This window comes from Homo sapiens, chromosome 8 (genome assembly GCF_000001405.40).
Source record: "Homo sapiens chromosome 8, GRCh38.p14 Primary Assembly".
Taxonomy (NCBI): Eukaryota; Metazoa; Chordata; class Mammalia; order Primates; family Hominidae; genus Homo; species Homo sapiens.
In genome coordinates this window covers 144,373,088-144,393,367 of record NC_000008.11, presented here as the reverse complement: position 1 = coordinate 144,393,367, position 20,280 = coordinate 144,373,088, and the positions used below count along the sequence as shown (strand labels likewise).

The window sequence follows — 20,280 nt, the reverse complement described above, 5'->3', positions numbered from 1 at the left end:
AGATCCTGGACGACTTGCTGGAGACGGACCGCGTCACCGCCCACTTCTAGCCCCGTGGATGCCGTCACCACCAGCACACGGAACTACCTCCCACCCCCTTTTTGTACAAAACACAAGGAAAAACATTTTTTGCTTGAGAGGAGTGTGTGGTCATTACACGGCCTCCTGGCCCAGCTGCTGTCACAGCCCCCCAGTGCGAGTGCCCACGGGGCTCGGGGTGTCTACACCTCTAGCCCCGCCACCTCCGTCAGCCCAAGGTGAAAAGGGCCCCGCCGGCCCTGGGCGGCTGCACCCTAGGTCTCCAGGTACTGGTAGAGCTCCTCCGCTGGGGGCACGAGGCTCAGGTGGACCAGAGCACGAGCCAGGAGGGCGGTCAGCCGCATGGCCAAGGTCTCCAGCCTGCGTGGGTCAGGTCACAGGTCACAGGTGGGTGGGGAGCAGGCCCCCGCCACCCACCTGCCCCGCGGCCACTCACCTGAGCGCCACTTCAAACTTGAGCATCTCCCAGACGACCTTGGCGTGGCGCAGGAGGCTGGTGCCGTAGACACCCCGATACGTGGCGCCCGCCAGGCGGCTCCAGCCCCGGACAGCCCTGCACACACCCGCGTTAGCGCCGCGTCAGCCCCACACCAGCCCCACCACGGCCCGGGCGCCTCCTCGGGCCACCGACCTTTTAGCCATAAGGAAGTAGCGGTCCACGGGGGCGCCGAGGGCCACGTTGATAGCGCGCACGGTGTTGATGTTGCGCAGCACCAGCAGCATGGGCCGCGGCAGCTCCCTGAGCACCGCCATGACGGCCTCGAAGCGCTCGCGGGCCATGTCCACCATGTAGGCCGCCTCTTCGCGGCTCAGTAGGTGCGAGCCCCACAGCTGCCCCAGGCGCACGGGGCGCTGCATGAGCATCTCGGCGAACAGGAGGTAGTCTGGGGAGGGAGGGAGGGAGGGAGGGAGGGGGCTCTGAGTGGGTTCCGCGCCGCCCGACTCCCTTCTGTGGTGCCCCAGCCATCCCCGCACGCCCTCACCTTGCACCCCCAGTGCGGCTGCGTGCGCCCTCATGGCGGCGTCGTCCCGCAGGATGATGGCCCGCCACAGCTGGCAGAGGGCTGCGCGGTCCCTGGGTGTGGATGGGCCCGCAGCCATGAGCTCCCTGCGGCAGGAGAGGCTTGCCCTGCCCCACGCCCACCCACCCGCGCTCACTTCTCCTCCAGGAACTGGTAGAGCCCGTGGTCCAGCAGCACCAGCTCCGCTTTCCCGTCCGGGCCTTTCCGCACCAGAACTAGGGATACAGCCTCTTAGGTCGCGCTGCGCCCACCCTGAGACCCCCACCCCTGGGGTAAATTCCTACCGTTGCCAGGATGTGGGTCCGAGTGGATGAAGCCGGTGTAAAATATCTGCTCAGCAAAGGCCTTGATGAGCTTTTCTGCTATCTGGGGAGAGGAGAGGCATTGCAGTGGACACAGCACCAGCCCGCCCTGACCCGCCCCCGCCCCCCCGCACTCACGTCATGCACTGCCAGCCCCTGGCTCCTGATGGCCTCCACATCGTTGACCTTGCAGCCGGCGCAGAAGTCGGCAGTGAGCACGCGCTGGGGAGAGCAAGAGGCTGGGCTCAGCAGGCCCAGCGCTGTGCCCACCCCAAGGGCCTGGCCCAGCCCACCTTGCTGGACTTGTCCCAGTGCACGCGGGGCACCACGACGTAGGGGAAGTGCGCCAGCTCCCGCGCACAGCGCTCTGCGTTGCGGCCCTCATTCTCGAAGTCCAGCTCCTGGGCCAGGGTCCCCTTCAGGTCCTGGGGGCCAGATGGCGGTTGAAGACCAGCTCTGCCTACCAGCTGCTCCTACCAGCTCTGCCTACGTGTTTGCTCCTGCTGGCCGGGGAAGGGGTGGGGCTGTACCTGGAGGACCCAGCTGAAGCCAAAGCTGGGGTGCATGACCTCAACGAGCCGCAGCAGGAGCTCCAGGGTGTGGATGTCCCCATCAAAGCGGTCCCGCAGGTCGATGTACTGCACCTGCACTGGGCGAGGGTGTGGTGAGAACTTGGGGCCCCACTGTGCCCCGCCCCAGCCCACTGCTGAACAAGGCAGCCCCCATATACCTTCACAGCCACGCTGGTGCCATCGTGCAGCTTGGCTCTGTGCACCTGTGCCAGGCTGGCGGCAGCAATTGGCTGGTAGTCAAACTCCTGGAAGAGCTCGTGGGGGAGGGCCTGGAAGTCCTCAAGGAACAACTCATCCACCTGGAAGGACAGGTGCTCAGAGCAGCCTGGGGCCACTGCTGGAGGCCCCACCTCCCTCGGCCTGAGCGCACACTCACCTCCTGGAAGCCCCGCTTGAGGGCCCTGTCCTCTAGCACGCGCAGGGTCCGGGTATACTCGGGGGGAAGCAGGTGGTTGAAGGAGCACAGCCCCTGGCCCAGCTTCACGTAGAGGCCCCCGTTGCTGATGGCCCCTGCCACCAGGGCATCAGCCGCCCGCTGGTGACACGCAGACATCACCTCCAAGTAGCCTGGGCTGTTCTGACCACAGGCATGGGGAGAACACATGGGGACAGGTGGCTGCCTCCTCAGTCCCACCCAGCCCACCACCTCATGCCCACCACTGTGTGCCCAGGGCACCAGGACAAACCTCTTCCACCCCTCGAAGGACAACATTGGTGCACCACCAGTAGTCCAGGGAGATCTGCAGGCCGACCTTCAGAGACCTGCGGGCAGAGGTGGCCTCAGTCTCCAGCGGGGCAGGCTCGGGGCCCCGGTGCTTGGTCCTCTTGTCAGAGCCCTCATGGTCTAGCCTCACCCCGGCCAGCCCTTCATGTCCCAAGGGTGAGGCCAAGCCAGGGTCCAGCCTACAGCCGCGTAGGCCTGTGTGAGCACAAGGGGTGCTGCTGAGCTCGTGGGGTGTCCTGTGGCCCTGCAGGTCAGTCTCAGCTCAAGATCAGTAGAACGGGGCCAGGTGTGGTGGCTCATGTCAATTATCCCATCACATTGGGAGGCTGTGCTGGGAGGATCACTTGAGCTCAGGAGTTCGAGACTGGCCTGGGCAACATGTTGAAACCCTGTCTCTACCAAAAATGCAAAAAAATTAGGCAGGCACGGTGGTGCACACCTGTGGTCCCAGCTCCTCAGGAAGCTGAGGCAGGAGGATCGTTTGAGCCTAGGAGGTGGAGACTGCAGTAAGCTGAGATTGCACCACTGCACCCCAGCCTGGGCAACAGAGCGAGACTCCGTCCAAAAAAGATCTGCAGAGCTGGGCACAGTGGCTCACGCCTGTAATCCCAGCACTTTGGGAGGCCGAGGTGAGTGGATCACCAGAGGTCAGGAGTTCAAGACCAGCCTGGCCAACATGGTGAAACCCCATTTCTACTTAAAATACAAAAAAATTAGCCGGGTGTGGTGGTGCACACCTGTAATCCCAGCTACTCGGGAGACTGAGGCAGGAGAATTGCTTGAACCCGAGAGGCAGAGGTTGCAGTGAGCCAAGATCGCGCCATTGCACTCCAGCCTGGGCAACAAGAGCGAAACTCGGTTTCAAAAAAAAAAAAAAGAGGCTGGGCTTGGTAGCTCACACCTATGATCCCAGCACTTTGGGAGGCCGAGGCGGGCAGATCACAAAGTCAAGAGATTGAGGCCATCCTGACCAACATGGTGAAACCTAGTCTCTACTAAAAATACAAAAATTAGCTGGGCATGGTGGTGCGTGCCTGTAGTGCCAGCTACTCAGGAGGCTGAGGCAGGAGAATCACTTGAAGTCAGGAGGCGGGTTTCGGTGAGCTAAAATTGCGCCACTGCACTCCAGCCTGGCGACAGAGCGAGACTCCGTCTCAAAAAACAAAAAAAGATCTGCAGAATGGGCAGCCTGTGTCCATGCCACCCTCACTCCCTGCCACCCTCAAGGGTGCCCAGGTGAGATGGGGTAGGGGACAGTATGGACGGTGGCATCCTCTGGAGAGATGGGGTTCCAAGGCTGTCTGTGAAGGTAAAGGATGGCAGCAAGGGGGCAGGGCTGAGGCAGCAGAGGTCACAGGAGGGTCAAGGTCACCTGCAGCCTGAGGTCCACTAGGAAGAGAGGAGGACACCAGGAGGGTGGGTCTCCAAGGCCTGGGGAGGCAAGGTCTGCAGGGAAGAGAGCCCAGTTAAGGCAGGAAGTGGGGGACATCCTGGGTATCTGTTGAGCAGGTACTGGGCTCCTGGGGGAGATTTAGGCAAGAGGATGGGGTAGAGGGGTGTCCCCAGGCCTGGCCCCAGTTAGGAGGATATCAGGGTGGGAGCCCTGGGAGAACTCTGGGGACCAGCTGGGCAGCCCTGGAATGAGGCGCCAGGCAGCGGGCAGACCACACACAGGTGCACAGGGAGGGGCTGAGGTCAGAGTGGCTTCTCCAAGGCTGGCCATGGCCAGAGGCCTGTCCCTGCGTTCTGTGAAGCTCACGTACCTGCCTGGGGACAGGGCCCACAGTCATTCCTGAAGCGCAGCTCTGGCGCTCAGGTGGACTCTGTGTCCCCCATCAACCCAGGGCGACCCCCCGGCCATTCAGGCCCCACTCTGGCCCCCGTAGAGCATCTGGAGTGCGTGCTTGGGTTAGGCCAGGGTTTCGGTTTCTTTTTTTTTTTTTTTGGAGACGGAGTCTCGCTCTGTCGCCCAGGCTGGAGTGTGGTGGCGATCTTGGCTCACTGCAGGCTCCGCCTCCCAGGTTCACGCCGTTCTCCTGCCTCAGCCTCCAGAGTAGCTGGGACTACAGGCGCCCAACACCACGCCCGGCTAATTTTTTTGTATTTTTAGTAGAGATGGGGTTTCACCGTGTTGGCCAGGATGGTCTCGATCTCCCGACCTCGTGATCCGCCCACCTTGGCCTCCCAAAGTGCTGGGATTACAGGCGTGAGCCACCGTGCCCGGCTCTAACTTTTCTACTATTAAAATTTGTTATAGTAAACACAACACTTTTGTAACAAAACTTAAAGATGTGAAAAAGTCCCACAGACTTGTGCTTGGGGGAGAAGGAATTTAATTTTTTTTTTTTTTTTGAGATGGAATCTCGCTCTGTCGCCCAGACTGGAGTGCAGTGGCACAGTCTAGGCTCACTGCAACCTCCGCCTCCCAGGTTCAAGCAATTCTCCCGCCTCAGCCTCCCGAGGAGCTGGGACTACAGGTGCCCACCACATGCCCAGCTAATTTTTCTATCTTTAGTAGAGATGGGGTTTCTCCACGTTGGTCAGGCTGGTCTCGAACTCCTGACCTCGTGATCCGCCCTCCTCGGCCTCCCAAAGCATTTTCACATTGCATTTCACATTGCCTCACAGAGCATTTTCAACATTGCTGTATGTTTGAAGTTTTTCACAAAATGTTGGAGGCCGGGTGTGGTGGCTCACACCTATAATCCCAGCACTTTGGGAGGCCAAGGCGGGCGGATCCCCTGAGGTCAGGAGTTCAAGACCAGTCTGACCAACACAGAGAAACCCGCCTCTACTAAAAAATACAAAATTAGCTGGGTGTGGTGGCGTGTGCCTGTAATCCCCAGCTACTAAGGAGGCTGAGGCAGGAGAATCGCTTGAATCCAGGAGGTGGAGGTTGCAGTGAGCGGAGATCCCACCATTGCACTCCAGCCTGGGCAACAAGAGTGAAACTCTGTCTCAAAAAAAAAAAAAAGTATCAATGAGTGCTAAACTGCTGGGTGGAGGCCAGGCGCAGTGGCTCATGCCTATAATCCCAGCACTTTGGGAGGCTGAGACAGATGGATCACTTAAGGTCAGGAATTCAAGACCAGCTTGGCCAACATGGAGAAACCCCATCTCTACTAAAAATTAAAAAAAAATTAGCTGGGTGTGGTGGCAGGTGTCTGTAATCCCAGCTACTGGGGAGACTGGGGCTGGGAGAATTGCTTGAACCCAGGAGGCAGAGGCTGAAGTGAGCCAAGATGTTGCCACTGTACTCCAGCCTGAGTGACAGAGCAAGACTGTCTCAATAAATAAATAAAGAAACAAACAAACTGCTGGGTGGAGGAGCAGTGAGAACAGACACATCATCTCAACTGCCTCCATACGGCTAATTACAAGGGAATCAAATGGGGGAAACCGAAATCATGTGCCCCCGGCAGGACAGAAGCAGTGTCACTCCTGTGTGATTCCTGCCAAAACAGATGACGAATATGACCACAAGCAAACATCAGACAAACCCACACTGACAAAATAAGAAGCAGTGAAATATTTCTGTAAAAGATGAGATGGTAATTATTTTAGGCACTCTGGCCACGCATGAGCACATGGGCAACTGTGCACCAAGTGGTCACAGGCAATGCATGGGCATGGCTGTGTTCCAATAAAGCTTTATTTGCAAATCAGACAGCTGCCACACTAGGCCCCTGCACTTGGCCCAGGGACCACAGTTTGCTGACTCTTGTTATACAATACTTACAAGCCTGTAATCTTCAAAGGTGTCCAATCATGTGCAATGAAGAATTAACTTTACCCAAACAGAGGACTGACCTTTGTCCCTTCTTAAGTCCTTGGGATTTCCTGAGTGATAAGGAGTGCCTCTGTTTTCCATGGTGGCCCTGAGGGCTTATGCTAAGAAGGGACTCAGGGCGAAGACCCACCACTTTGGGGCCCACGGGGATGGGAGCGGGAGGACCGGGGCTGGAAACTGAATTCCTGGGATTTTCTGAGAAACTGGAGATTTTCAATCAATCCCGCCCAAGTATTAATACCCCAACAAAAACTCCAGGCATGGCCTGCGTGGTGGCTCATGCCTGTAATCCCAGCACTTTGGGAGTCCGAGGCGGGCAGATCACTTGAGGTCAGCAGTTCAAGACCAGCCTGGCCAACATGATGAAACCCTATTGCTACTGAAAATACAAAAATTAGCCGGGCGTGATGGTGGGCACCTGTAATTCCAGCTACTCAGAAGGCTAAGACAGGAGAATCGCTTGAACCCGGGAGATGGAGGTTGCAGTGAGCCGAGATCCCACCATTGCACTCCAGCCTGGGCAGCAAGAGCGAAACTCCATCTCAAAAAATAAAAAAAAATAAGTTAAATAAAAAATTAAAAAATTTTAAAAAAAAAGTTAAATTTAGTTCAGGTATGATAGCTCACACCTGTAATCCCAGCCATTTGGGAGGCTGAGGCAAACGGATCACCTGAACTCAGGAGTTCAAGACCAGCCTGGGCATCATGGCAAAACCCCATCTCTACTAAAAATATAAAAAATTAGCCGGGCATGGTGGCGCGCACACCTGTAGTCCCAGCTACTCGGGAGGCCGAAGCATGAGAATTGCTTGAACCTGGGATATGGAGGTTGCAGTGAGCTGAGACGAAGCCACTGCACTCCAGCCTGGGCAACAGAGTGAGACTGTCTCCAAAAAATAAAAGAAAAAGGGGCGGTGGGGGAAAGCAAAACACATAGGTGATTTTTTTTTTTTTTGAGACAGAGAGTCGCTCTGTCACCCAGGCTAGAGTGCAGTGGCGTGATCTTGGCTCACTGCAAGCTCCGCCTCCCGGGTTCACGCCATTCTCCTGCCTCAGCCTCCCAAGTAGCTGGGACTACAGGCAACCGCCACCAAGCCCGGCTAATTTTTTGTATTTTTTAGTAGAGACGGGGTTTCACCATGTTAGCCAGGATGGTCTCGATCTCCTGACCTCGTGATCCACCCACCTCGGCCTCCCAAAGTTCTGGGATTACAGGCGTGAGCCACCATGCCCGGCCACATATAGGTGATTTTATTTTTTATTTTTATTTTTTGAGACGGGTCTGGCTCTGTCTTCCAGGCTGGAGTGCAATGGCGTGATCTTGGTTCACTGCAACCTCCGCCTCCCAGGTTCAAGTGATTCCCCTGCCTCAGCCTCTCAAAGTAGCTGGGATTACAGGCGTGAGCCACCGCGCCTGGTGGTGATTTAAGTTTAGGGCCAGGTGTGGTGGCTCACACCTGTAATCCCAGCACTTTGAGAGGCCGAGCTGAGCAGTTCACCTGAGGTCAAGAGTTGGAGACCAGCCTGTCCAACATGACGAAACCCTGTCTCTACTAAAAATACAAAAACTAGCCGGGCGTGGTGCCACACACCCGAAATCCCAGCTGCTTGGGAGGCGAGACAGGAGAGTCGCTTAAACCAAGGGAGCACAGGTTGCAGTGAGCTGAGATCGCACCACTGCACTCCACCCTGGGTGACAGAGCAAGACTCCGTCTCAAAAAAAAAAAAAAAAGAAAATGTAAGGAGTGGCAGAGATTAAAGACAGGGCTCTGAGGCAGAGAAACATTGTCCCAAACCTTCCACCTTCCTGGGCAGCCCCTGATCATTTGGGTACCTGTGGCCTGTTCTGACCTCTGCTGCCTTTTCTCATGGTGCACTGGCACCGCCATGCTCCTCACCCGCGCTCCTTCCTGGGCCCCTGCATGGGTGCTGCTGTCACCCAGGATGTGTTCCCAGGCTACCCTGTGCCCTGCCAGGGAAGCTCCACAGGCCTGCTTGTCTATGCAACCGTGACGGCTTAGAGCCAAGGAGAACGTGCAGACTGCTGGGAAAATTAACAACAGAGGTCCCTCCCTGCAACCCCAGCTCAGCCCCTGAGAGCGAGCTGTGAGAAGATGTTTTCCCACAAAGTGAGCCCAAAACGCAGGCTCACCAAGCCGGTGGCCGAGGAGGTGGACACCAGACACAGCTGCATGCCATGAAATAGAGGGTGAGACAAACCCAGGCCTGCCAAGCCGACATTTCAGAACCAGGCTGCAGGGGACGGTGGCTGGCAGCCCTGTGTGGCCCTTGCATGCACTGCAGCGGAGGGTCACGAGAAAAAGGCAGAGGACCCGAGGCTCTGTCGTCACCCACCCCAGGCTGCGAGACTGGATGGCCCTGCAAGACAGACAATGCCACCCAAAATCTGCAGGCAGGGACAGCAGGAACTCCAAGCAAAACCAGATGCCAGGGAGACCCACGTGGGGAACGACTGTTTTGTCTTTTAGGCTGAAAATCCTCAGGTGCCCAGCTATCCACAAGCTTCCACTCACTGCTGGAGGAAATTTCTGTGAAACTTCTGGTGAAATCTCTGAAGGCACCAGAAGCCGAGGCACTTGCTGAGAAACTGACCTAGGCCTGGCAGATGCTCGGAGGCAGGCAGAACAGGACCACACCCTCCCTGCCTCCTTCCTGCCCTGACGCTCCATTCAAAAGGGCTTTGGGGGCTGGGCACGGTGACTCACGCCTGTCATCCCAGCACTTTGGGAGGCCGAGGCGGGTGGATCACGAGGTCAGGAGATCGAGACCATCCTGGCTAACACAGTGAAACCCCGTTTCTACTAAAAATACTAAATAAATAAATAAATAAATAAATAATTTAGCCAGGCATGGTGGTGGGCACCTGTAGTCCCGGCTACTCAGGAGGCTGAGGCAGGAGAATGGCGTGAACCAGGGAGGCGGGGCTTGAGTGAGCCGAGATTGCGCCACTGCACTCCAGCCTGGGTGACAGAGCGAGACTCTGTCTCAAAAAAAAAAAAAAAAAAAAAAAAGGGCTTTGGGCTAACAGGTTTCTCTCAAAGCCAAGAGCTGGTTCCACCAGGCTCAGGCTAGCAGGGCTTTGTGGCTGCAGGAATTCCGGGATCTGACAAAAGCAGGAATGCCCACCCAAGGGTTCCAACAGAAGGTGTCCTCACCCTCCCCCTGAGTTCTTCACTGTAAGGTAATGGAGGAAGAAAGGGCCCTGACAGCAATAACCCGATTTTGCCCATCTCCAGGGCAAGGGACAGAGGCAGCCTCCTCTCCCAGGCCCAAACCTTGGAATGGGGCAAGAAGAGAAGGAAGGCAGGGCAGCTGCTTCTCTGCCAGCCTAGAAGCCTGAGGGAGAAGGCACGGGCCCAGGGCTGGAGCGCCTCCCCACTAAGGCCAAGGCTGAACTAGGGAAGGGCCTGTGGCGGCTGCATCCAATGTGGAGGACCCTTGTCTACACCACCTCCTATAGGCCCCGCCAGTGCTCACTGTCCCTTCAGCCAGCACCTTCCCATGTAGGAAAGGACGCCTGAAAAGCAGCTGTAAAATCCTCAGCAAGCTCTGCAGGCCTCCCAGGCTCACGCCCCTCGTCTGTGAAGGCATCTGGAGCAGGCAATCCTGCACCGCACACACCCCGCCCGCCACGCCGCAACCCCTGCCTGCCGCCAGGCCCTCCTACCTGCCAAAGCGCCCCATGCCATCCACCACGAGCCGCATCCTCCTCTTCTCCCGTGCCTCTGCCATGACATAGCGGGCTCCGAGGAGCAGGGGCGCCCCCACTACCGCGGTGGAGAGCACCTTCCTCCACAGGGGTGTGGGGCTGGAGAACCTGAGGAGAGACAATGCAGCCTGGAGGCGCCGCCCCCCACATTCAGCTGGGCTCTGATCTCTGCCCCCACCTCCCCCAGCACCACGTCTCACTCCTGTGTGCACAGCCATTCTGACGTGTGGTCAGCAGAGAACACCACCGCATCAGCGTCCCCTTCCCTGAGCCCCTGCACCAGATGCCCCTGCACCAAAGCCCGGCACCAGATGGCCATAAGGGGCAGGTCTCATTCAGGTCTGTCCAGAGACGCAGCCAATGGGCCATGGGACATGGAAATGGCTCCTCAGGTAAAGGAAGCAGCTCAATGGCAGGTCTGTGCTCCTCACGGACCGTGGTCTCCTACACTGTGGAGAATCACAACCACCGTCCACCTCGCAGGATTCAACTGGATGGTCATCAGCACAGCAGAGACAGAGAAGATGCTGCGGTCGGCACGTGCTGAGTCGCATGACAGTACAGAGCAAGAAACAGAGCTTGCCCCATATTGAATATAGTAGGATCACCATACACGCTGAATACAGCAGAAGCCCAATACTTGCTGAATACAGCAAGAGCCCAATACTTGCTGAATACAGCAGGAGCCCAATACTCCCTGAATACAGCAGGAGTCTAATACTCGCTGAATACAGCAGGAGTCCAATACTTGCCAAATACAGCAGGAGCCCAATACTCGCTGAATACAGCAGGAGCTCTACCTATGCTGAACACAGTAGCAGCTCCATATATGCTGAAACCAGCAGGAAACCCATAACGCTGAGTGCGGGAGGTGCCTGAGAACACATCTGTTTCTGCACCCGGCCCATAATCCTGAGTGCGGCAGGTGCCTGAGCACACATCTGTTTCTACACCCGGCCCATAATCCTTAGTGCAGCAGGTGCCTGAGCACACATCTGTTTCTACACCCGGCCCATAATCCTTAGTGCAGCAGGTGCCTGAGCACACATCTGTTTCTACACCCGGCCCATAATCCTTAGTGCAGCAGGTGCCTGAGCACACATCTGTTTCTACACCCGGCCCATAATCCTGAGTGCAGCAGGGGCCTGAGCACACATCTGTTTCTACACCCGGCCCATAATCCTGAGTGCAGCAGGGGCCTGAGCACACATCTGATTCTACACCCGGCCCATAATCCTGAGTGCGGCAGGTGCCTGAGCACACATCTGTTTCTACACCCGGCCCATAATCCTGAGTGCGGCAGGGGCCTGAGCACACATCTGTTTCTACACCCGGCCCATAATCCTGAGTGCAGCAGGGGCCTGAGCACACATCTGTTTCTACACCCGGCCCATAATCCTGAGTGCAGCAGGGGCCTGAGCACACATCTGTTTCTGCACCCGGCCCATAATCCTGAGTGCAGCAGGTGCCTGAGCACACATCTGTTTCTACACCCGGCCCATAATTCTGACTGCGGGAGGTGCCTGAGCACACATCTGTTTCTACACCCGGCCCATAATCCTGACTGCGGGAGGTGCCTGAGCACACATCTGTTTCTGCACCCGGCCCATAATCCTGAGTGCGGCAGGTGCCTGAGCACACATCTGTTTCTACACCTGGCCCATAATCCTGAGTGCAGCAGGGGCCTGAGCACACATCTGATTCTACACCCAGCCCATAATCCTGAGTGCGGCAGGTGCCTGAGCACACATCTGTTTCTACACCTGGCCCATAATCCTGAGTGCAGCAGGTGCCTGAGCACACATCTGTTTCTACACCCGGCCCATAATTCTGACTGCGGGAGGTGCCTGAGCACACATCTGTTTCTACACCCGGCCCATAATCCTGAGTGCAGCAGGGGCCTGAGCACACATCTGATTCTACACCCAGCCCATAATCCTGAGTGCGGCAGGTGCCTGAGCACACATCTGTTTCTACACCCGGCCCATAATCCTGAGTGCAGCAGGTGCCTGAGCACACATCTGTTTCTACACCCGGCCCATAATCCTTAGTGCAGCAGGTGCCTGAGCACACATCTGTTTCTACACCCGGCCCATAATCCTTAGTGCAGCAGGTGCCTGAGCACACATCTGTTTCTACACCCGGCACATAATCCTGACTGCGGGAGGTGCCTGAGCACACATCTGTTTCTACACCCAGCCCATAATCCTGAGTGGGGCAGGTGCCTGAGCACACATCTGCTTCTACACCCAGCCCATAATCCTGAGTGGGGCAGGTGCCTGAGCACACATCAGTTTCTACACCCAGCCCATAATCCTTAGTGCGGCAGGTGCCTGAGCACACATCTGTTTCTACACCCAGCCCATAATCCTGAGTGGGGCAGGTGCCTGAGCACACATCTGCTTCTACACCCAGCCCATAATCCTGAGTGGGGCAGGTGCCTGAGCACACATCTGTTTCTACACCCAGCCCATAATCCTTAGTGCGGCAGGTGCCTGAGCACACATCTGTTTCTACACCCAGCCCATAATCCTGAGTGCAGCAGGCGCCTGAGCACACATCTGTTTCTACACCCAGCCCATAATCCTGAGTGCAGCAGGCGCCTGAGCACACATCTGTTTCTACACCCAGCCCATAATCCTGAGTGCAGCAGGCGCCTGAGCACACATCTGTTTCTACACCCAGCCCATAATCCTGAGTGCAGCAGGTGCCTGAGCACACATCTGTTTCTACACCCAGCCCATAATCCTGAGTGCAGCAGGTGCCTGAGCACACATCTGTTTCTACACCCGGCCCATAATCCTGACTGCGGCAGGTGCCTGAGCACACATCTGTTTCTACACCTGGCCCATAATTCTGACTGCGGGAGGTGCCTGAGCACACATCTGTTTCTACACCCGGCCCATAATTCTGACTGCGGGAGGTGCCTGAGCACACATCTGTTTCTACACCCGGCCCATAATCCTTAGTGCAGCAGGTGCCTGAGCACACATCTGTTTCTACACCCGGCCCATAATCCTGAGTGCAGCAGGTGTCTGAGTGCACATCTGTTTCTGCACCCAGCCGCAGGCGCCTGAGCACCCATCTGTTTCTGTAGCTGGCCGCATCTGTCCCAGGGACACAGGTTGTCCTACTGCAGAGCTCTCGGGAGAAGGAGACCCCTGCCAGGTTCACTGAGCCAGTGGCGCTTGGACAGCTCACCCTGCCTGCCCTGCCTGGCCACATCTACCCTCCACGGCCTTCCTGCCTTGCCACCGTCCATCTGCGCACTGTGGTCCGGACTTGCTGGCCTCAGGACATTGTCTGGCCTTTCCTTCTGCTCAGACCCATCCCTCCACATCTCTTCTTGCTGCTCTTCCTCTTGTGTGACTCCCACCTATAGTCACCCCGCCCTCCTCCATGCTCTGAATGACCCGGTTTGCTCTTCAGAGCAGGCGCTCCATGTGCACCCTTCCCGATTTGCTAGCTGTCTGCTCTAAATGCTGTGATCAGGGTGTGCCCACCCCTGAGCACGGTCCCATGGGTCCCTGGGGGTCTTTGGTCCCAGTGCACCGCACTGAGGAGCAAACATATCCTGCCTTGGTTGTGGGTACAGGAGAAGGTCCAGCCTTGGGCCCTCGACTGCCACCTCTGCATGCACACAGACGCCATCCATGCCTGCCTGGGTGAGAGGCGCATGCCCGTGGAGGACTCGTTACCTTGGAGGAAGGCCCCTGACGTTTCTCCTGAAGAACACAGCAGGGGACGGCCAGGGCTTCTGCCTGCTGTGCAGCAGAGCAGAGTGGAAATGACAGAGCTGCACCTGCAAAGAGAGGAAATTGTGTGGGGTCGAACGAGGCCAGGACACGCCCCTGCCCTCAACCAGTACCAGCACTTACATGTGCTGGAGTCTGAGGCAGCCTAACTCTAAACCTAATGTGTGAGTCCATTCTCACACTGCTCTAAAGAACTACCCAGGCCGGGCACAGGGGCTCACACCTTTAATCCCAGAACTTTAGGAGGCCGAGGCGGGTGGATCATCTGAGGCCAGGAGTTTGAGACCAGCCTGATCAACATGGTGAAACCCCGTCTCTACTAAAAATACAAAATTAGTTGGGCATAGTGGTGCATGTACGTAATCCCAGCTACTCGGGAGGCTGAGGCAGGAGAATCGCTTGAACCCGGGAGGCAGAGGTTGCAGTGAGCTGAAATCGCGCCACTACACTCCAGCCTGGGCAACAGAGCGAAACTCCATCTCAAGAAAAAAAAAAAAAGAACTACCCAAGCAAGACTGGGTAATTTATGAAGAAAATAGGTTTGTTTGTTTTTCTGAGATGGAGTCTCACTCTGTCGCCCAGGCTGGAGTGCAATGGCACAATCTCGGCTCACTACAATCTCCGCCTCCCGAGTTCAAGTGATTCTCTTGCCCCAGCCCCCCGAGTAGCTGGGACTACAAGCATACGCCACCACATCCAGCTAATTTTTGTATTTTAGTAGAGACGGAGTTTCACCATGTTGGCCAGGCTGGTCTAGAACTCCTGACCTCAAGTGATCTGCCCTCCTCAGCCTCCCAAAGTGCTGGTATTACAGGTGTAAGCCACCGCACCTGGCCTGGGTTTAACTGACTCACAGTTCTGCAGGCTGTCCAGGAAGCACCACTGAGAGGCCTCAGGAAACTTACAGTCATGGCAGAAGGCAAATGGGAAGCAAGCACAGTATGGGTGAAGCAGTGGGGGGGGCGGAGAGAGAGAGAGAGCAAGCGAGAGGGCAAAGGGGAAAGTGCCACACACACTTTTAAACCATCAGATCTGAGAACTCACTCACTATCACCACAACAGCAAGGGGGAATCTGCCCCCATGACCAGATCACCTCCCACCAGGCCCCTCCTCCAACACTGGGAATCGCGACTCAGATGAGCTTTGGGTGGGGACACAAAGCCAAACCACATCACCAAGTCAGTCAGCAAAGACTGCCAGCACCGCTGGGATCATGCCAGGAAGCCAGGTTCCCATCTTTGATTCCGTAATGGAAACACTATCCTACCTCCTGGGAGCAAGGCTGAGTGTCAAAGTATCATAGGAGAGAAGGCTAAACGCAGCTTAACCAGGGCTGATGCCTCAGATGCTGACAGGGCATCAAACATACCCCGTCTCTGAATGTCCCCTCAGTCTCTGCAGGAAGAGATGGCATCACCATCTGGCTCATCTGGGATGGGACCCACCCCATCCCTGCCCCTGCACTCTCTTGGCAGCACCCTGACCTGTCATTTACTATTTTACTATTTCCTGCTGCTGAGACCACTGACCAGTGGCCAGAGGAAAGCAGTCCTCATCTCCGAAGGAAGTGGCAACAGTGCCCAGCCATGGAATCATACAGCAGACGCCAACCTTGAAGGTGGACGCCCGGATGGGAGGAGTGGCCTACGTAGGTCACTGTTCTGAAAGCAGATGAAGAAACTTACAACTTACTGAGACCCCACAGACAGGGACCCTGTACATCTTTTACTTGGAGGAGAAGAGGACATGCTGCAGCTAGCAGGACACACGTAAAGAAGTCCCAAGGGTCAGGCGCGGTGGCTCACGCCCGTAATCCCAGCACTTTTGGAGGCCAAAGCGGGTGGATCATGAGGTCAGGAGATTAAGACCATCCTGGCCAACATGGCGAAACCCTGTCTCTACTAGAAATACAAAAAAAGTAGCCAGGTGTGATGGCGCATACCTGTAATCCCAGGTAGTTGGGAGGCTGAGACAGGAGAATCGCTTGATCTTGGTAGGCGGAGATTGCAGTGAGCCAAGATTGAGACACTGCACTCCAGCCTGGGCAACAGAATGGGACTCCATTTAGAAAAATAAATACATAAATAAAGAAGCCCCACCATGAGACTCTTGACACATGGCCCTGCTTTATTTTTGTGACTATGAAAACACCACATAGAACTTACAGTATTATTAAAAAAAAGAAAGAAAACACCACAGCTCTCACTGGAAACCTTGGTCTCCCAATCACACTTGACCTAGGATGAGGTCTCACAACTCCCCAAATTCCCCAACTGAGAGCTCTTCACACAAGTCACGGTTTGGGTGGAAAGGACTGTGCATAGCCAGTCATGCCCCGTGGCACAGACGCTAACATGGTCCTCAACACTGGACCTAGTAAGGAACTGACTTGCCAGCTGGTTTTTGGCCAGAGCTCAGAGCCCTGGAGAAAATTTTGAGGACTCCAAACAACATGAAAGCCAAAGGGAAAAGTCCATGACCTCTTATCCCTAGAGGGCGGGTTGACAGAAACCCCTGCTTGGCGAGGTCACATGCAGCAAGTGCTGATTCACAAGGAAAACCCAAGGCAGCCGGGCAGCGACTCGTAGGCGGGCCATCCACCTGCTGCCTACCCAGCCTGCACCTCCTGACCCTAGCCACCTCTGGTGCCAGTGCATGCATGGCTAGAGGCCCCGAGATCAGGCAGTCGTGCCCACGGACTGTGGAGAGACTCTGAACAGCAGCTCGTAAGTGGCTGCAAGGGAGCTACCTCCAGGTGGCTATCCCAGCCACTGCCCACCTCATCCATGACCAGCAACGCAAGCTGTTTCCACAGGCTCCACCAAACAGGTGAGGCCAGGAAAGTCATGGCTGGCTGACTGCTGTCTCCAACAACAGTTTTCTGCTCTTTCCTCAGGAACCAGCATTGCAGAAGGGGCTCCAGCTGCGTCTCTCACTCCCATTCTTATCCAGGACAGAGATCCCTCCAGTAGACCCCGGGCCACCATCACCCTACCCTGGTCCACCAGCAGCCTTGCTCATGCTCACGTCCCGCTCCACCTTGTTCACCGTGGTCCTATCCTGCCACTGTCCTCATCACACACCAGCGTGACTGTCAACTTACGGAATCTGTCCTCCCACTAGACTGTGAGCAGGGCCACCTCTCAACCATCTCTGAACAAGCAGGCACTCAATGAATGCCTGCCGAATGAGACCAACAGCTGTGAAGCACAGGACTCAATTGAACCCCACATGGCCCTGCCAAGCAACAGGCACTGATAACCCACAGTGCCTGCCAGGGCCCATGAGGCTGAGCAAGAGCCTGTCTCCTCCAAATGTGGAGCGCCCAGCACACCCAGACTATCCTCTCTGAAATTCCCATCACACAGGAGAGGTCCCCAAGGCCCAGAGAGGTTATGGGTTGGGGGGCGAGCCTGCAGCTGCATCTCCCAGAAGGACTTCCCAGAGCCCAATCCAGGGCAATTCTCACGTGACACACAGCCCCAACCGCACCCAGAACACGACCTCTAAACTGCCAGAAGATAAGCCGTCTTTTAGACGGTGGGTCCCCAGGGCCTTCCCCCAACACACCTGAGACGGCCCTGGTGACACTTATCCCTGCAGCTCCCCTGACTTCCAAAGCCTTCCAGTTTGGACAAGATGAAACGGGTGCCCCCTGTCAGAACCTCTCATGCTTTCTTATGGTGAGTGTGTGCAGTCTGTCTGCACAAACGGAAACACCTCCCGTTCCAGAGTGACTCTAGACCACAGCTGACTACCTTGAAAGCGGCAAGTATTCTGAGTGGTAACACTCACACAGGTATCATGAAGTTCACAACCAAAGGGCGTGCTTTGGCCGCAGAACCACATGCATGTCCGATCGTGTCTGGTTTTCCAGCGCCTGCAGATGAGGAGGATGCAGCTCCCACAGACAGGCCCGGCCGCAGCAGTGAGAAGCAACTGCCGAGTCTCAGAATGATGCCAGAAACTAAAAACCATGAACGGATGACCAGAGCCTGGGGAACCCAACAGCACTGTGCACCTCAACATGAGGGGAAACTGAGGCACATAATTGTCCCCAAAGTTAGGAAGAGACAGATTGGGAGTCTGGGCAGGGTAAGTGGGTCTGGCGACCACAGACACTGTCCTTCTCCCAGGGTGTGTGACCCTGTCAGCCCCAGCCAGTCCTCAAACGCCGCCTGGACCCAGCCCTGCTCACTGGCCATGAGCAGCTCCTAACCAGAGGCTAAACCGACCTGTCCACTCGCTGGGGCTGGGGAGGGACTGAGTGGCCTGCACGTGGGAAGACTTTGTCACCTGGAAGGAGCTGCACTGAAGGCCACCTCCCCGGCCCATGAAGCACCCTGGGGTCACACAGCTGGGCTGGGGCACGAGTGGGCCGTCCATCTGTGCTATTTATAGCCAGACGGGCAAGGCTAGCTTATCGCCAAACACAAGCTCTGCTGACATTCCAAGAAAAAAAGGAACGGCGCTGGGAGCCCCTTCATCTCTTCTGGAAGGGGGTGGGTAAGATGCGTGTCAAGGCCTCTGCCCCGCCCCCCCGCAGTCCTAACCGCAGGGACAGAGCAACGGGACCCGGCGGCGACGTGGGAGCGGGGAGACGCCGAGAGCCTGAGAGAGGGGGCCTCGGAGCCATGGGGGGCGCGCCCCTGAGACGACGCAGGGGCGCTCAGAGCAGAGCCCGGCCTGCAGCCCCCGCCCGCCCGCCGCCTCAGGGCAGGGCAGGCCCGGCGGGGAGGCGAGCGAAGGAGGTCCGGGGCAGCAGGCTGGGCAGGGAGGCGTCCGTGATTCCGGGAGGCCGCCTCGCGAGGGGAACGGCGCCTGAGGCTTCCCCGCGGGGCCCCTGCCCTCTGGAGATCGCGCTCTCCGGGGCGCCGGGCACCCGCCTCCGGGCTGGGCGGAGGGGCCCCTGCGGCTCCCGGTGCAGGCGGCGTCAGGGCTGCGGGCGCGGCTCCCGCCTGAAATCCCAGCTCTCGGGGAGGCTGAGGCGGGCGGATCGCTAGAGCCCAGGAATTCGAGACCAGCCTGAGCAACACGGCGAGACCCCGACTCTGCTAAACAGAGTCGGCCGGGAGCGGTCACGCCTGCGGTGTCAGCTACTTGCGGGGCCGAGGCGGGAGGATCGCCTGAGTCCGGGAGGCGGAAGCTGCGGTGAGCGGAGATCGCACCACTGCGCTCCAGGGCGACAGAGCGAGACCCTGCCTCAAAAAAAAAGAGGGAAAAAGCCCCGAGGGTCTCTAGGGCGGGGTCTGGGGACTTGCGGGTCTCGGGTCTCTGGGGCTGGTGTGCAGGATCTCGGGCGCCCCGGGCCGGGAGAGTCCTCACCGGTCGCCACATCTCCGACCACTGCTCCGCTCTTCTCCCGCCCGGCGCCGCTTAGCGTCTCGCAGCCCAGCAGGCCCTGCGGGAGGGCGCGTAGTGCGCACGCGCCGGAGCCAGAGCCCCGCCCCGTGGGCGGTGGGCGAGGCTGGAGGCCACGCCCCGAGTCGTGCCGGCCTCCGCGGCGGGGCAGCGTCCCCTGGCGGCCCCCAGAGGCTTACCTTTTGGCGCCCGGACCGCGCCTCCTGAGAGCGGAGGGTTCCAGTCCCGCCCTCGGCGCACTGCGCATTCCCCGGGCAGGCACCTGCCGGAAGGACCGCTGTGAGAAGCACGTGGATAATCCGGGGAGGGCTGAGGGCTTCCTGAGGTCCTCACGGCCCGGTATCCGCCTCTCTTTAACACTCCGTGCTATAGTGTGATTAGCGTGAATCTCTTTAACCTCAGGACTCCAACTCACCACCTGCCTGTGTGAGGGCCAAGATGACGCCCCTGACTGGGAACTGGAAGACAACCAGGAGAGTGGCCAAAGGGGTCCTGGAGCAGCTCCCGTGCCCATGGGGAGACCTTCCCAGGGCCAGGGCTTCAGATTCTGGGGTTCACTTTGCAGCCACCCTTGGTCCCTGTCACTTAGCTTCTTATGGGAACGTCAGTGACGTCACAGCCTCCTGCAGTGCCCTAGGCTGCTGCTACTCACTCTGTGACAGCCCTGGCTGGGTAGGGGCCCAGGCCCGGGCATGCCATGCAGCCAGCAAGGCTACTGCTGGACTGACGACCTCACCGCTACTAGACTGACCTCACCGCTACTAGACTGACCTCACTGCTACTAGACTGACCTCACCGCTGCTGGACTGACCTCACCGTCCCCGAACATGCCAGGGATCCTCGGGCGCCAACACGGGTCCTGGCACTTACTGCCTGCAAGCCCTCCTAGACCCCACTGTGAGCATGAAACAAAACACCATCCTTGTGGAATCCACGAGGGCTCCTGAGTCAGCTTGGCCTAAGGGTGCCACAGTAGCTGAAAGT

General features: G+C 57.5%; 2 protein-coding genes across 14 annotated transcripts in view, besides 4 other annotated features; one reads left to right on the top strand and one right to left on the bottom strand.

Moving 5' to 3' along the window:
* CPSF1 (cleavage and polyadenylation specific factor 1) overlaps positions 1–137 on the top strand; it is a 16,105-nt gene extending 15,968 nt beyond the window's left edge. For all 7 annotated transcript variants that reach the window (XM_006716548.3, NM_013291.3, XM_047421733.1 and 4 more), the window contains one exon: positions 3–137. In XM_006716548.3, coding sequence (XP_006716611.1) covers positions 3–50 — 48 coding nt within the window. In that variant the 3' untranslated portion in view covers positions 51–137. The remainder of the gene's footprint in view (positions 1–2) is intronic.
* On the bottom strand, positions 126–20,280 carry ADCK5 (aarF domain containing kinase 5). Of its 7 annotated transcripts, none has more exons than XM_017013174.2 (15): positions 19,476–20,280; positions 13,878–13,981; positions 10,138–10,287; positions 2,622–2,697; positions 2,312–2,512; positions 2,094–2,234; positions 1,894–2,007; positions 1,657–1,788; positions 1,502–1,585; positions 1,346–1,427; positions 1,198–1,276; positions 1,023–1,114; positions 671–923; positions 476–592; positions 126–399 (listed from the first exon to the last, which is right to left on the bottom strand). In XM_017013174.2, exons 3-15 carry the CDS (start codon positions 10,200–10,202, stop codon positions 294–296), a joined length of 1,542 nt encoding a protein of 513 aa, XP_016868663.1. In that variant the 5' UTR covers positions 10,203–10,287; positions 13,878–13,981; positions 19,476–20,280; the 3' UTR covers positions 126–293. The 7 variants fall into 7 exon arrangements, with proteins under 7 accessions (XP_016868663.1, NP_777582.4, XP_011515209.1 ...); NM_174922.5 differs by lacking the exon at positions 19,476–20,280 and adding an exon at positions 19,261–19,321; XM_011516907.4 differs by lacking the exon at positions 19,476–20,280 and adding an exon at positions 17,731–18,542.
* Positions 4,418–4,919: an enhancer, noted in NCBI's record as "H3K4me1 hESC enhancer chr8:145613649-145614150 (GRCh37/hg19 assembly coordinates)". NCBI's record gives its function as "activates a minimal SCP1, AML or CMV promoter by ChIP-STARR-seq in primed H9 embryonic stem cells {active_cell/tissue: H9 hESC(primed)}" and the evidence as "EXISTENCE:reporter gene assay evidence [ECO:0000049][PMID:30033119]".
* Positions 18,604–18,913: a silencer, noted in NCBI's record as "silent region_19680". NCBI's record gives its function as "represses an Ori minimal core promoter by ATAC-STARR-seq in GM12878 lymphoblastoid cells {active_cell/tissue: GM12878}" and the evidence as "EXISTENCE:reporter gene assay evidence [ECO:0000049][PMID:35858748]".
* Positions 19,234–19,653: a silencer, noted in NCBI's record as "silent region_19679". NCBI's record gives its function as "represses an Ori minimal core promoter by ATAC-STARR-seq in GM12878 lymphoblastoid cells {active_cell/tissue: GM12878}" and the evidence as "EXISTENCE:reporter gene assay evidence [ECO:0000049][PMID:35858748]".
* Positions 20,134–20,183: an enhancer, noted in NCBI's record as "active region_28096". NCBI's record gives its function as "activates an Ori minimal core promoter by ATAC-STARR-seq in GM12878 lymphoblastoid cells {active_cell/tissue: GM12878}" and the evidence as "EXISTENCE:reporter gene assay evidence [ECO:0000049][PMID:35858748]".

Coding starts and splice junctions, on each gene's coding strand:
- ADCK5 (XM_011516907.4), bottom strand. CDS start 17,964: ATGTTGAGGTGCACAGTGCTGTTGGGTTCCCCAGGCTCTGGTCATCCG. Junction 2,008..2,093: donor GCACCAGCGTGGCTGTGAAG/GTATATGGGGGC, acceptor CGCCCAGTGCAG/GTGCAGTACATCGACCTGCG. Junction 1,586..1,656: donor ACTGGGACAAGTCCAGCAAG/GTGGGCTGGGCC, acceptor TGCTCTCCCCAG/CGCGTGCTCACTGCCGACTT.